Below are 14,776 nucleotides of genomic sequence, written 5' to 3'. Positions count from 1 at the left end.
TTGGCTCTGCAACAAATGAGCTGGTAGCCTTTGACAGGCCTGGGCCTGTTTCTTCACCTCTGAATTAGGGAGGCTGGACCAGAAAACTCCTGTGGATCTTGTCAACTCTGGTATTCTTAGAGACTCTGTTTGGGAAGGAGTCCTGAGCCATTTTTTTTTTCTTGAGAATTTCAGGAAGAGGAGTGCTTATGATAGCTCTCTGCTGCTTTTATCAGCAACCAAATTGCAGGATGAGGACAAGCAATTCTAAATGAGTACAGGAACTAAAAGAAGGCTTGGTTACCACTCTTGAAAATAATAGCTAGTCCAGGTGCGGGGTGGCTCACACCTGTAATCTCAGTATTTTGGGATGCCGAGGTGGACTGATCACCTAAGGTCAGGAGTTCGAAACCAGCTTGGCCAATGTGGCGAAACCCTGTCTCTACTAAAAATTCAAAAATTAGCCAGGCATGGTGGCACATGCCTGTAATCCCAGTTACTTGGGAGGCTGAAGCAGGAGAATTGCTTGAACCTGGGAGGTGGAGGTCGCAGGGAGCCAAAATTGCGCCACTGTACTCCAGCCTGAGCAACACAGCAAAACTCCATATCAAAAAATAAAATGAATAAAATAACAGCTAATCTAGTCATCAGTATAACTCCAGTGAACAGAAGATTTATTAGGCATAGTGAATGATGGTGCTTCCTAAAAATCTCTTGACTACAAAGAATCTCATTTCAATGTTTATTGTTTAGATGTTCAGAATAAATTCTTGGGAAAGACCTTGGCTTGGTGTAAGTGAATTACCAGTGCCGAGGGCAGGGTGAACCAAGTCTCAGTGCTGGTTGACTGAGGGCAGTGTCTGGGACCTGTAGTCAGGTTTCCGGTCACACTGTGGACATGGTCACTGTTGTCCTTGATTTGTTTTCTGTTTCAATTCTTGTCTATAAAGACCCGTATGCTTGGTTTTCATGTGATGACAGAGAAAACAAAACACTGCAGATATCCTTCAGGACCTGACAGGAAGAAACATTTCGGATTATCTGGTGAAGACGTATGTGCAGATCATAGCCAAAAGGTGACTTTTTACTAAACTTGGCCCCTGCCGTATTATTACTAATTAGAGGAATTAAAGACCTACAAATAACAGACTGAAACAGTGGGGGAAATGCCAGATTATGGCCTGATTCTGTCTATTGGAAGTTTAGGATATTATCCCAAACTAGAAAAGATGACGAGAGGGACTGTGAACATTCAGTTGTCAGCTTCAAGGCTGAGGCAGCCTGGTCTAGAATGAAAATAGAAATGGATTCAACGTCAAATTTTGCCACTTAGTAGCAACTTGACCAGGTAACTGGTTATCCTTTTAAAGCCTTAGTTTATCTAAATTGTGATATTAATGTTGCTCTTATAAGTTTGTCATGAGGACTAAATTAAATGGTGTACATAGAGTGCCTTGGGTACTCTCTGATGGGGGACTCCATGATAATTTGTGGTCTCATGGAGGGAGCTCTGGGAAGGTTTAGGAGCCTGCCTTGGCTCTGCAGCCTTGGGAGAGCCTTCTAGCTTCCCAGGACATGGCAGCCTAGTGTTGAATGCTTGGCTCAGCAAATGTTTGTTCTCGTTTCCTTCCCATCAACTTGGTCAGTTGGGGTCTTTCAGTTAGGAGTATCTCAGTGACTTTAAATGGCATGGGCATGCTGGAGTGATAGTGACCATGAGTTTCTAAGAAAGAAGCATAATTTCTCCATATGTCATCCACAATTGAAATATTATTGTTAATTGAAAAAGCTTCTAGGCCAGGCACGGTGGCTCATGCCTGTAATCCCAGCACTTTAGGAGGCCAAGGCGGGTGGATCACTTGAGGTCAGGAGTTTGAGACCAGCCTGGCCAACATGGGGAAACCCTGTCTCTACTAAAAATACAAAATAAGCTGGGCGTGGTGGTGCGTGCCTGTAATCCCAGCTACTTGGGAGGCTGAGGCAGGAGAATTGCTTGAATCTGGGAGGCGGAGGTTGCAGTGAGCTGAGTTCATGCCATTGCATTCCAGCCTGGGCAACAAGAGCGAAACCATCTCCCAAAAGAAAAAAAAAAGAAAGAAAAAGCTTCTAGTTTGGTTACATCTTGGTCTATAAGGTGGTTTGTAAATTGGTTTAACCCAAGGCCTGGTTCTCATATAAGTAATAGGGTATTTATGATGGAGAGAAGGCTGGAAGAGGCCTGAACACAGGCTTCTTTTCTCTAGCACAACCCTACAAGGCCAGCTGATTCTAGGGTTATTTCTGTCCGTTCCTTATATCCTCAGGTGGATATTTACTCCTTTTGCATCATTAGGAATAGGCTCAGTGCTTTCTTTGAACTGATTTTTTGTTTCTTTGTCTCTGCAGCTTAAAGAACAAGATCTGGGTGAATGAGTTTAGGTAAGTTGCTGTCTTTCTGGCACGTTTAGCTCAGGGGGAGGATGGTGTTGTAGGTGTCTTGGATTGAAGAAAGCCTTGGGGATTGTTTGTCACTCACACACTTGTGGGTGCCATCTCACTGTGAGGAGGACAGAAGCCCTGTGAACATGTGGAGCACACAGGGGCACAGACAGATTTAGATTAGGCCTGCTTTATAGAGTTTCTGCCTAGAGCATCATGGCTCAGTGCCCAGCAGCCCCTCCAGAGGCCTCTGAAATATTTGATATACTGATTTCCTTGAGGAGAATCAGAAATCTCCTGCAGGTGTCTAGGGATTTCAAGTAAGTAGTGTTGTGAGGGGAATACCTACTTGTACTTTCCCCCCAAACCAGATTCCCGAGGCTTCTTAAGGACTCAAGGACAATTTCTAGGCATTTAGCACGGGACTAAAAAGGTCTTAGAGGAAATAAGAAGCGCCAAAACCATCTCTTTGCACTGTATTTCAACCCATTTGTCCTTCTGGGTTTTGAAGGAACAGGTGGGACTGGGGACAGAAGAGTTCTTGAAGCCAGTTTGTCCATCATGGAAAATGAGATAGGTGATGTGGCTACGTCAGGGGGCCCGAAGGCTCCTTGTTACTGATTTCCGTCTTTTCTCTCTGCCTTTTCCCCAAGGGCCAGGACCCCTGGATCTCTGGGCAGAGCAGACGCAGGCCCCTATAATAGCCCTCATGCTAGAAAGGAGCCGGAGCCTGTGTATAAGGCCAGCGCAGCCTACTCTGGACAGTGCAGGGTTCCCACTCTCCCAACTCCCCATCTGCTTGCCTCCAGACCCACATTCACACACGAGCCACTGGGTTGGAGGAGCATCTGTGAGATGAAACACCATTCTTTCCTCAATGTCTCAGCTATCTAACTGTGTGTGTAATCAGGCCAGGTCCTCCCTGCTGGGCAGAAACCATGGGAGTTAAGAGATTGCCAACATTTATTAGAGGAAGCTGACGTGTAACTTCTCTGAGGCAAAATTTAGCCCTCCTTTGAACAGGAATTTGACTCAGTGAACCTTGTACACACTCGCACTGAGTCTGCTGCTGATGATACTGTGCACCCCACTGTCTGGGTTTTAATGTCAGGCTGTTCTTTTAGGTATGGCGGCTTTTCCCTGGGTGTCAGTAATACTCAAGCACTTCCTCCGAGTCAAGAAGTTAATGATGCCATCAAACAAATGAAGAAACACCTAAAGCTGGCCAAGGTAAAATATCTATCGTAAGATGTATCAGAAAAATGGGCATGTAGCTGCTGGGATATAGGAGTAGTTGGCAGGTTAAACGGATCACCTGGCAGCTCATTGTTCTGAATATGTTGGCATACAGAGCCGTCTTTGGCATTTAGCGATTTGAGCCAGACAAAACTGAATTACTTAGTTGTACGTTTAAAAGTGTAGGTCAAAAACAAATCCAGAGGCCAGGAGCTGTGGCTCATGCCTGTAATCCTAGCACTTTGGGAGGCCGAAGCGGGTGGATCACTTGAGGTCAGGAGTTCGAGACCAGCCTGGCCTACATGACAAAACCCCGTATCTACTAAAAATACAAAAAAATTAGCTGGGCTTGGTGGCACACACCTGTAATCCCAGCTACTTGGGAGGCTGAGGCAGGAGAATTGCTTGAACCCTGTAGGAAGAGGTTGTAGTGAGCCAAGATCGCACCGTTGCACTCCAGCCTGGGCAACAAGAGCAAAACTCCATCTCAAAAAACAAATTAAATCCAGAGATTTAAAAGCTCTCAGAGGCTGGGCGCGGTGGCTTACACCTGTTATCCCAGCATTTTGGGATGCCGAGGCGGGCAAAGCACAAGGTCAGGAGTTTGAGACCAGCCTGGCCAACATAGTGAAACCCTGTCTCTGCTAAAAACATAGAAAAATTAGCCGGGCATGGTGGCGTGCGCCTGTAATCCCAGCTACTCGGGAGGCTGAGGTGAGAGAATTACTTGAACCCGGGAGGCGGAGGTTGCAGTGAGCCCAGATTGCACCACTGCACTCCAGCCTGGGCGACAGAGCAAGACTCCATCTCAAAAAAAGCTCTCAGAACAACCAGGTTTACAAATTTGGTCAGTTGGTAAATAAACTGGGTTTCAAACATACTTTGCTGAAACAATCACTGACTAAATAGGAAATGAATCTTTTTTTTTTTTAAGCTGGCAAGCTGGTCTGTAGGACCTGATAAGTACTCACTTCATTTCTCTGTGTCTCAGGTTTCCCATTTTTAGGTGAGAATTAAGGGGCTCTGATAAAACAGACCCTAGGATTGTGGACAGCAGTGATAGTCCTAGAGTCCACAAGTCTGCTTTTGAGTGATGGGCCCATGTATCTGGCACATCTGCAGGCAGAGCGTGGTTCTGGCTCTTCAGATGATGCCGGTGGAGCACTTTGAGGAGTCCTCACCCCACCGTGATAACCAGACATTAAAATCTTGGGGCTTTGCATCCCAGGATTTCTCTGTGATTCCTTCTAGACTTGTGGCATCATGGCAGCATCACTGCTGTAGATTTCTAGTCACTTGGTTCTCAGGAGCCGTTTATTTAATGGCTTCACATTTAATTTCAGTGAACAAGGTAGTGGCATTGCTCTTCACAGGGCCGTCCTGTTGTCCACAGGTTCCAGATTGACTGTTGCCCCTTATCTATGTGAACAGTCACAACTGAGGCAGGTTTCTGTTGTTTACAGGACAGTTCTGCAGATCGATTTCTCAACAGCTTGGGAAGATTTATGACAGGACTGGACACCAAAAATAATGTCAAGGTAAACCGCTGTCTTTGTTCTAGTAGCTTTTTGATGAACAATAATCCTTATGTTTCCTGGAGTACTTTCAACTCATGGTAAAGTTGGCAGGGGCATTCACAACAGAAAAGAGCAAACTATTAACTTTACCAGTGAGGCAGTACGGTGTAGTGTAGTGATTCAGAGAATTTGCTTTGCCACCAGACATACCAGGTAACCTTGACTAAGTTACTTAACCTATCTAAACCTCAGTTCCCTCATCTGTGAAATGGAGACAGTAATCATAGCTATTTCCAAACTGTTGTGAGAATTCAATGAGTTAAAGGTATAAGGTCCTCACCACAGCGCCTGCCCACATAGTCAGTGATCACTATGTCCTGAACACTGTAATTACTTCGCCATATTCTCTGATCATAGTGTTTTGCCTTGGTATGTGACTAGAATTTCTTTCTGAGGTTTATGGGCATGGTTGGTGGGTATGCACCTGCCTGCAGGAGCCCGGTTTGGGGGCATTACCTTGTACCTGGTATGTTTTCTTTCAGGTGTGGTTCAATAACAAGGGCTGGCATGCAATCAGCTCTTTCCTGAATGTCATCAACAATGCCATTCTCCGGGCCAACCTGCAAAAGGGAGAGAACCCTAGCCATTATGGAATTACTGCTTTCAATCATCCCCTGAATCTCACCAAGCAGCAGCTCTCAGAGGTGGCTCTGTAAGTGTGGCTGTGTCTGTATAGATGGAGTGGGGCAAGGGAGAGGGTTATGGAGAAGGGGAGAAAAATGTGAATCTCATTGTAGGGGAACAGCTGCAGAGACCGTTATATTATGATAAATCTGGATTGATCCAGGCTCTGGGCAGAAGTGATAAGTTTACGAATTGGCTGGTTGGGCTTCTTGAACTGCAGAAGAGAAAATGACACTGATATGTAAAAATCGTAACATTTAGTGAATTCATATAAAGTGAGTTCAAAAATTGTTAATTAAATTATAATTTAATTATAAGTGTTTAATCAGTTTGATTTGTTTAAAAACCACTGTTTTAAATTTGGTGGAATATGTTTTTATTAGCTTGTATCTTTAATTCCTAAATTAAGCTGTGTGTGTGTGTGTGTGTGTGTGTGTGTGTGTGTGTGTGTGAAGTTTAAAGCCAGGATGAGCTAGTTTAAAGTATGCAGCCTTTGGAGTCATACAGATCTGGGTTTGAATCTGGTCTCTAAACTTTATAGATGTATGATATTAAATGAGGCAGTTCATGTAAATTGCCAAGCCCAGCACTCAGCACAGAGTTGATATTTCACACACATTAGATACCTTTCCTGTATGTGGAGCATGGCAGTTCCTGTTTCTGCTTTACTCCTACAGGATACTAATATAGGACACTAGGATCTTTATACCAAGACCCCATGTAATGGGCTTATGAGACCATTCTTCTTATAAAAATCTGACAGAATTTTTGTATGTGTTAGATCAATAGGCTGCATACTGTTATTTTCAAGTTGATTTACAGCCAGAAATATTAATTTATTTGAGTAGTTACAGAGTAATATTTCTGCTCTCATTTAGTTTTCAAGCCCCACTAGTCCTTTGTGTGTGAAAATTTACAACTTACTGCTCTTACAAGGTCATGAACAGTGGACCAAAGTGAATGCCATTAACCACTCTGACTTCCTTCATTAGTTTTATTGTGACAGTGGACTCTTTTGACCTCAGTAATACCAGTTTGGCATTTACATTGTCATATTTTTAGACTTAAAAATGATCATCTTAACCCTGAATAAAATGTGTCTGGTGAACAGATGTTTTTCCTTGGGCTGTGCCTCAGATATCTCTGTGTGTGTGTACGTGTGTGTTTGTCTGTGTGTCCATGTCCTCACTGATTGAGCCCTAACTGCATCAAAGACCCCTCAGATTTTCACACGCTTTTTCTCTCCAGGATGACCACATCAGTGGATGTCCTTGTGTCCATCTGTGTCATCTTTGCAATGTCCTTCGTCCCAGCCAGCTTTGTCGTATTCCTGATCCAGGAGCGGGTCAGCAAAGCAAAACACCTGCAGTTCATCAGTGGAGTGAAGCCTGTCATCTACTGGCTCTCTAATTTTGTCTGGGATATGGTAAGGACACAGGCCTGCTGTATCTTTCTGATGTCTGTCAGGGCCATGGATTGATATGGATAAGAAAGAAAGAGCTCTGGCTATCATCAGGAAATGTTCCAGCTACTCTAAAGATGTATGAAAAAGAAATAGCCAGAGGCAGGTGATCACTTTCATGACACCAAACACAGCATTGGGTACCAGAGTTCATGTCACACCAGAGGGAAAATTCTGTACACAATGATGAAAATTAATACCACTACCACTTAAGTTCCTATGTGACAACTTTCCCAAGAATCAGAGAGATACAAGTCAAAACTCCAAGTCAATGCCTCTAACTTCTCTGATGGGTTTTAACCTCCAGAGTCAGAATGTTCTTTGCCTTACTAGGAAAGCCATCTGTCATTTGAAAACTCTGTACATTTTATCAGCAGCTTATCCATCCATTGCAAATATGTTTTTGTGCCAGCCACAATATATTGCTTCTATTTGGACCAATATGGGGGATTTGAAGGAATTCTGAAGTTCTAATTATATTTCAACTCTACTTTACAATATCTCCCTGAAATATATCTCCCTGTAACTTCTATTAATTATAAGCTACACAGAGCAAATCTAATTCTTCTCCCACCGAACAAGTCCCTGGATATTTAAAAATAACTCTCATACTCTCATTTAACCTGAGTATTACCCAGATAAGATGATATATGAGAATACACCTTGTAACCTCCGAAGCACTGTACAAATGTGAGCAATGATGGTGGAGATGATGATGAGATCTTTGCTGTTTATACCAAGCCCCTTAGACTGTGTCACTCTTCTGATCCGGTTGTCCTTGTATGGCCATGCTGTATATTGTGAATGTCCGTTTTCAAAAGCAAAGCCAAGAATTAACCTTGTGTTCAGGCTGTGGTCTGAATGGTTATGGGTCCAGAGGGAGTTGATCTTTAGCTCACACTTCTATTACTGCAGCACAAAGATTTTGCATTTTGGAAGGAGCACCGTCTTACTGGCAACTTAGTGGTAAACCAAAACCTCCATTTCACACAAATGATTGTGAAATTCGGGTCTCCTTCATTCTATACAAATTCATTTGATTTTTTTGAAACTAAACTTTATATTTATCCATATTAAATTACATGGGTTTTATTTTTGTTTTATCTTGATTCAGTAATTACTCCTTTCAGTAAACACAGACTGAGTGCTGTGTGTCTGACTTATGCCAGGCATAGGTGATTCAGAGATGAAAGGTCAAGTCCCTGAACCCATCTCTTGTCTTCCTGGGTATTATCTGTCCCTCCCTGCTTTAGAGCTCCTGAAATTTGCTAGAAGCATGTCTTCATCTAAGTTGTTGATAAACACATCAAGTAGGATTGGACTGAGGCAGAGCCCTGTAGTCTGAAGCTGCAGTTCTTCTAGCGGCTGACAAGCCCCACTATCACTTCCCTGCTGGTGCTTTGCTCTGCCAGCTGTGAATTCTCATAATTGTCCTATCGTCAAGTCTTTATTTCTGCATTTTACTGCTTGATACACTGTCAGGACAGACTTTAAAATTATTCTCAGTGCGATGAAACAATTCTGACATTCATGTTATGAGCAGTTACCTCATAAATAGATTACATGTGAGATTGAACTTGGGCAGACTATAATATAGCATTAATGACGAAACAGACACAGTCATCTTCGGGAAGAAGAATAGAGGCTTATTTGCTGCCTGTGAAATTAAAATTACTCTGACTGGGAATCCATCGTTCAGTAAGTTTACTGAGTGTGACACCTTGGCTTGACTGTTGGAAAGACAGAAAGGGCATGTAGTTTATAAAATCAGCCAAGGGGAAAATGCTTGTCAAAATGTATTGTCGGGTATTTTGATTAATAGTTTATGTGGCTTCATTAATTCAGAGTTACTCTCCAATATGTTTATCTGCCCTTTCTTGTCTGATAATGGTGAAAACTTGTGTGATGCATTGTATATTTGATTTAGGGGTGAACTGGATGTCTTTGTTTTCACTTTTAGTGCAATTACGTTGTCCCTGCCACACTGGTCATTATCATCTTCATCTGCTTCCAGCAGAAGTCCTATGTGTCCTCCACCAATCTGCCTGTGCTAGCCCTTCTACTTTTGCTGTATGGGTAAGTCACCTCTGAGTGAGGGAGCTGCACAGTGGATAAGGCATTTGGTGCCCAGTGTCAGAAGGAGGGCAGGGACTCTCAGTAGACACTTATCTTTTTGTGTCTCAACAGGTGGTCAATCACACCTCTCATGTACCCAGCCTCCTTTGTGTTCAAGATCCCCAGCACAGCCTATGTGGTGCTCACCAGCGTGAACCTCTTCATTGGCATTAATGGCAGCGTGGCCACCTTTGTGCTGGAGCTGTTCACCGACAATGTGAGTCATGCAGAGAGAACACTCCTGCTGGGATGAGCATCTCTGGGAGCCAGAGGACAGTGTTTAATTGTGATCTTATTCCACTTGTCAGTGGTATTGACACTGCTGACTGCCTTGTCCTGTCTTCAGAGTCTGTCTTCCCTGAGAAGGCAAAGCACCTTTCTTTCTTGCTGTGCCTTACATTTTGCTGGTCAAGCCTTTCAGTTTCTTTTGACAGTTTTTTTTACTTCTTTCTTTTTTCAATGTTGCTCTTACCAAGAGTAGCTCCTCTGCCTTCCACTTTACACATGAGAGCTGGGCGACGCCATTCAGTCCTAAGGCTTTTACCATCACCTCTCTTGGTGTTTTTATTGTCATCTCTAAGATCAATGCCTTTAGCCTTGATCATAACCTTGAACTCTAATCTCAAATTCTCACTTGCCTAGTGGATTGCTCCATTTAGATAGTATATAGATACCCCAACCTGGATATGTCCTAGTTTTCTTTCCCCTTGGAACTTAATGCTTTTCTTGCCATCCCTGTCACACTCAGTGGCACTACCATCCACTCGGTTGCCCAAGCTGGCTCTTAGAGTTATCCTAGATGCTTGCTTTGCTGTTGCAGATTTCCCACATTCAACTGGTTATGTTGTCAGTTCTTCCAGGTATGGACCTCTAAAATAAGGCTTCCTCTCCATTCCGGTTGTCATTGCCTTTGTCCAAACACAGCACACAAGGCCTTTTACAGTTGCACAACTCTTCCTGTCCATACCCACCACACCCTTTCCCAGCTGTAAGCTTCAGATGAGTTGCCTCCAACCACCATGCTCCTGTAGGCCTGGCTTGAAATGCCCTTCTTCTGTCACAGGGTCTGGTAGTATATCCCTTGCCCTTCAAGATTTAGCTAAAATGTGAAGCTTTCCTTACCTGCTGGGAGGTGTTCTCTCTTTTCTCTGTGCTCTCAGAGTCCTTAGTCCATGCCTCCAGTACAACGTACATCCACTTACATGGTAATTTCCTGTTTACATACTTTTCCTACTCGGAGTGGAGTCTGTTTCTTAATAATTTTGCCTCTCCCATGCCCTAGCACAGTGCATCCAGCGTATAGCCCCTTATTCAGTTGGTAGATATTTGGCCACTGTTGCCTTGTGGGATCATAAGTTCTGATGTATTTGAGAAGAATTTCTAAAATTCTGACAAAATCCTGAAACTCAAATATTGACCCAGACATGAGCAATTTGCTTTTCAAATGCTAAGGGATTTTTAATGGATTTGCTTTAATTAAATCTAGCCTGTTTCTAAGCTTTATTCATTATTTCTCCATACTCAGAGCATTTCTCCAGATTTTCTAAAGAATAGAATTTTATTGCTACATATCATCAGCTATGCCTGCTGCTATTTAATTGGTATCTGAATTAAAAGGTCTGGTTTGTCCCTAGAGAATCAAATTTTTTCTTCACTCCCATATTTCAGAACTTGATACATTTTTAGGATAAACCATGAATGACACCCGTTTCTTCTCCCTCACCCTCCCTTCCCTCCCATTTTTTTTTTTTTTTTTTAGAAGCTGAATAATATCAATGATATCCTGAAGTCCGTGTTCTTGATCTTCCCACATTTTTGCCTGGGACGAGGGCTCATCGACATGGTGAAAAACCAGGCAATGGCTGATGCCCTGGAAAGGTTTGGTGAGTGAAGCAGTGGCTGTAGGATGCTTTAATGGAGATGGCACTCTGCATAGGCCTTGGTACCCTGAACTTTGTTTTGGAAAGAAGCAGGTGACTAAGCACAGGATGTTCCCCCACCCCCATGCCCAGTGACAGGGCTCATGCCAACACAGCTGGTTGTGGCATGGGTTTTGTGACACAACCATTTGTCTGTGTCTCTGATAGCATTGAGAAAAGTGAAAGGGCAGTTTTGAAGGTAAGGAAAATAGTGGCATTTGCTTGGATCCACTGGCTCATGCCACTGTCTGGGTTGGTTAGAAGCACTGGAAAAGTCAAACCATAACTTTGAGAATTAGGTGATCAGGGAATCAGAAGGAAAGATGCAAACTTTGGCTCTTTTAGGCGAATCATGTGCCTGCAGATGAGGTCATTTATTATCTTTTACACAGTCTATAAAATTATAATGTATTACATCTTTTTCTACCTTTAGAATGGTTAAAAATATTTCTCCGGTAGCCATATGATTATTATTCATCCATTAGATAATATAGTCAAATGGGCCATGTTATTTACTGTTCATAGAAGAGGGGCTTTTTGCAACTTGGGCTACAAAGGAGATATGTAAGGAATTTAAGGAATGGTTACATGGAACTAGATTTAATTGAATCTAGTGGTTTAATTGATTCACTAGGATATATGCTACTGAAAGGGGAATCTGCTTAAAGTGCTTTCTGATATTTATTATTACTAAAACTTAGAATTTATTAAAAATACTGACTGTGAAAATTACTTGGGTCGTTTGCCTTTTTAAAAGGATTTTTGGCATGTCTCATTAAAAAAAGAAATACTAGATATCTTCAGTGAAGTTACAAATCGAATACACATTGGCTCTGAAATTCTGATTGATACTGGGTCATAAAAAGTTTTCCCAAATCAGACTTGGAAAGTGATCACTCTCTTGTTACTCTTTTTTCCTTGTCATGGGTGATAGCCATTTGTGTTTATTGGAAGATCGGTGAATTTTAAGGAACATAGGCCCAAATTTGAGGAAGGGCCATGGTTTTTGATCCCTCCATTCTGACCGGATCTCTGCATTGTGTCTACTAGGGGAGAATCGCTTTGTGTCACCATTATCTTGGGACTTGGTGGGACGAAACCTCTTCGCCATGGCCGTGGAAGGGGTGGTGTTCTTCCTCATTACTGTTCTGATCCAGTACAGATTCTTCATCAGGCCCAGGTGAGCTTTTTCTTAGAACCCGTGGAGCACCTGGTTGAGGGTCACAGAGGAGGCGCACAGGGAAACACTCACCAATGGGGGTTGCATTGAACTGAACTCAAAATATGTGATAAAACTGATTTTCCTGATGTGGGCATCCCGCAGCCCCCTCCCTGCCCATCCTGGAGACTGTGGCAAGTAGGTTTTATAATACTACGTTAGAGACTGAATCTTTGTCCTGAAAAATAGTTTGAAAGGTTCATTTTTCTTGTTTTTTCCCCCAAGACCTGTAAATGCAAAGCTATCTCCTCTGAATGATGAAGATGAAGATGTGAGGCGGGAAAGACAGAGAATTCTTGATGGTGGAGGCCAGAATGACATCTTAGAAATCAAGGAGTTGACGAAGGTGAGAGAGTACAGGTTACAATAGCTCATCTTCAGTTTTTTTCAGCTTTATGTGCTGTAACCCAGCAGTTTGCTGACTTGCTTAATAAAAGGGCATGTGTTCCCAAAATGTACATCTATACCAAGGTTCTGTCAATTTTATTTTAAAAACACCATGGAGACTTCTTAAAGAATTCTTACTGAGAATTCTTTTGTGATATGAATTCCCATTCTCGAATACATTGGTTTTATATGCTTACATTTATGTGTTAGTTATTAAAACATACTAATATTGTATATCTAGTCAAAACTGAGGTAGAGAGAATAAATGGTTGATTTTGAGTTTGAGTTTCATAGTCCAAAAAGCTGATATATTGCCTGTGTTCAAGAGGGTCTATATCAGCCCTCTAGATGCCAGCATCTCCAAATTTTACTTTTTTGGAATCTGTACAGTATTTGCAATATTTTTATTACAAATTTCTACTCTGTGGAATTTAATTTTTAAAATACCTGCAATACATATATATGTTGAATAGATGAAAAATTATGTAGATAATAATGAATGATACGGTTCTAAAAAGACAGGTTAAAAAGTAAGTTCACTTTTATTTTGAGCTTCAGAATCATTCAGAAGCCAGTCGCCACAAACGCAGACCAAGGCTCTTGGCACATCAAATATGCCTATGGCTTAGGGTTATTGACAAGTCTTATGTTGCAGTGTATGTGGTTTATAGTCCTGCCTTCCACAGTTGCTTGGGAGAGCTGTGAGTCACTGAGGCTTATGAATGTTTACATTTTGTTTGTTGCAGATATATAGAAGGAAGCGGAAGCCTGCTGTTGACAGGATTTGCGTGGGCATTCCTCCTGGTGAGGTAAAGACACTTTGTCTATATTGCGTTTGTCCCTATTAGTTCAGACTATCTCTACCCAATCAAGCAACGATGCTCGTTAAGAGGTAAAAGTGGATTTTAAAGGCTTCTGTATTTATGCCAGGATGGAGCAATTAGTCATCGAGAAGAGAGGGACCCTGTATGTCAAGAGAATGATTTCAGAGAATCCAATACAATTTAAGAAAAAGCATGGGGCTGGGCGCAGTGATTCACTCCTGTAATCCCAGCACTTTGGGAGGCCGAGGTGGGCGGATCACGAGGTCAGGAGATTGAGACCATCCTGGCCAACATGGTGAAACCCCATCTCTACTATAAATACAAAAATTAGCTGGGCATAGTAGTGCATTCCTGTAGTCCCAGCTACTCGGGAGGCTGAGGCAGGAGAATTGCTTGAACCTAGGAGGGGGAGGTTGCCCAGATTGCGCTGCTGCACTCCAGCCTGGTGACAGAGTGAGACTCATGTCAACAACAAAAACAGAAAAAGCACGCACATCTAAAACATGCTTTTGTGATCCATTTGGGATGGTGATGACATTCAAATAGTTTTTTAAAAATAGATTTTCTCCTTTCTGGTTTCCGTTTGTGTTCTTTTATGCCCTTTTGCCAGAGTAGGTGGTGCAATTTGGCTAGCTGGCTTTCATTACTGTTTTTCACACATTAACTTTGGCCTCAACTTGACAACTCAAATAATATTTATAAATACAGCCACACTTAAAATGGTCCCATTATGAAATACATATTTAAATATCTATACGATGTGTTAAAACCAAGAAAATATTTGATTCTTCTCTGATATTTAAGAATTGAAGGTTTGAGGTAGTTACGTGTTAGGGGCATTTATATTCATGTTTTTAGAGTTTGCTTATACAACTTAATCTTTCCTTTTCAGTGCTTTGGGCTCCTGGGAGTTAATGGGGCTGGAAAATCATCAACTTTCAAGATGTTAACAGGAGATACCACTGTTACCAGAGGAGATGCTTTCCTTAACAAAAATAGGTGAGAAAAGAAGTGGC

At 42.3% G+C, this 14,776-nt stretch overlaps 1 protein-coding gene across 1 annotated transcript in view; it reads left to right on the top strand.

The window, feature by feature from the left end:
* Positions 1-14,776, top strand: part of ABCA1 (ATP binding cassette subfamily A member 1) — a 147,150-nt gene that overhangs the window by 122,475 nt on the left and 9,899 nt on the right. The window contains exons 32-44 of the mRNA NM_005502.4: positions 961-1,055; positions 2,365-2,397; positions 3,522-3,627; positions 5,097-5,171; positions 5,693-5,862; positions 7,083-7,260; positions 9,257-9,372; positions 9,484-9,628; positions 11,171-11,294; positions 12,381-12,510; positions 12,775-12,895; positions 13,683-13,745; positions 14,653-14,759. Coding sequence (NP_005493.2) covers positions 961-1,055; positions 2,365-2,397; positions 3,522-3,627; positions 5,097-5,171; positions 5,693-5,862; positions 7,083-7,260; positions 9,257-9,372; positions 9,484-9,628; positions 11,171-11,294; positions 12,381-12,510; positions 12,775-12,895; positions 13,683-13,745; positions 14,653-14,759 — 1,463 coding nt within the window. The remainder of the gene's footprint in view (positions 1-960; positions 1,056-2,364; positions 2,398-3,521; positions 3,628-5,096; positions 5,172-5,692; positions 5,863-7,082; positions 7,261-9,256; positions 9,373-9,483; positions 9,629-11,170; positions 11,295-12,380; positions 12,511-12,774; positions 12,896-13,682; positions 13,746-14,652; positions 14,760-14,776) is intronic.

The sequence above is a fragment of the Homo sapiens genome, chromosome 9, assembly GCF_000001405.40.
Source record: "Homo sapiens chromosome 9, GRCh38.p14 Primary Assembly".
In the NCBI taxonomy this organism is placed as follows: Eukaryota; Metazoa; Chordata; class Mammalia; order Primates; family Hominidae; genus Homo; species Homo sapiens.
The sequence above is the reverse complement of the archived record's forward strand: the minus strand, read 5'-3'. Positions and strand labels throughout refer to the sequence as shown.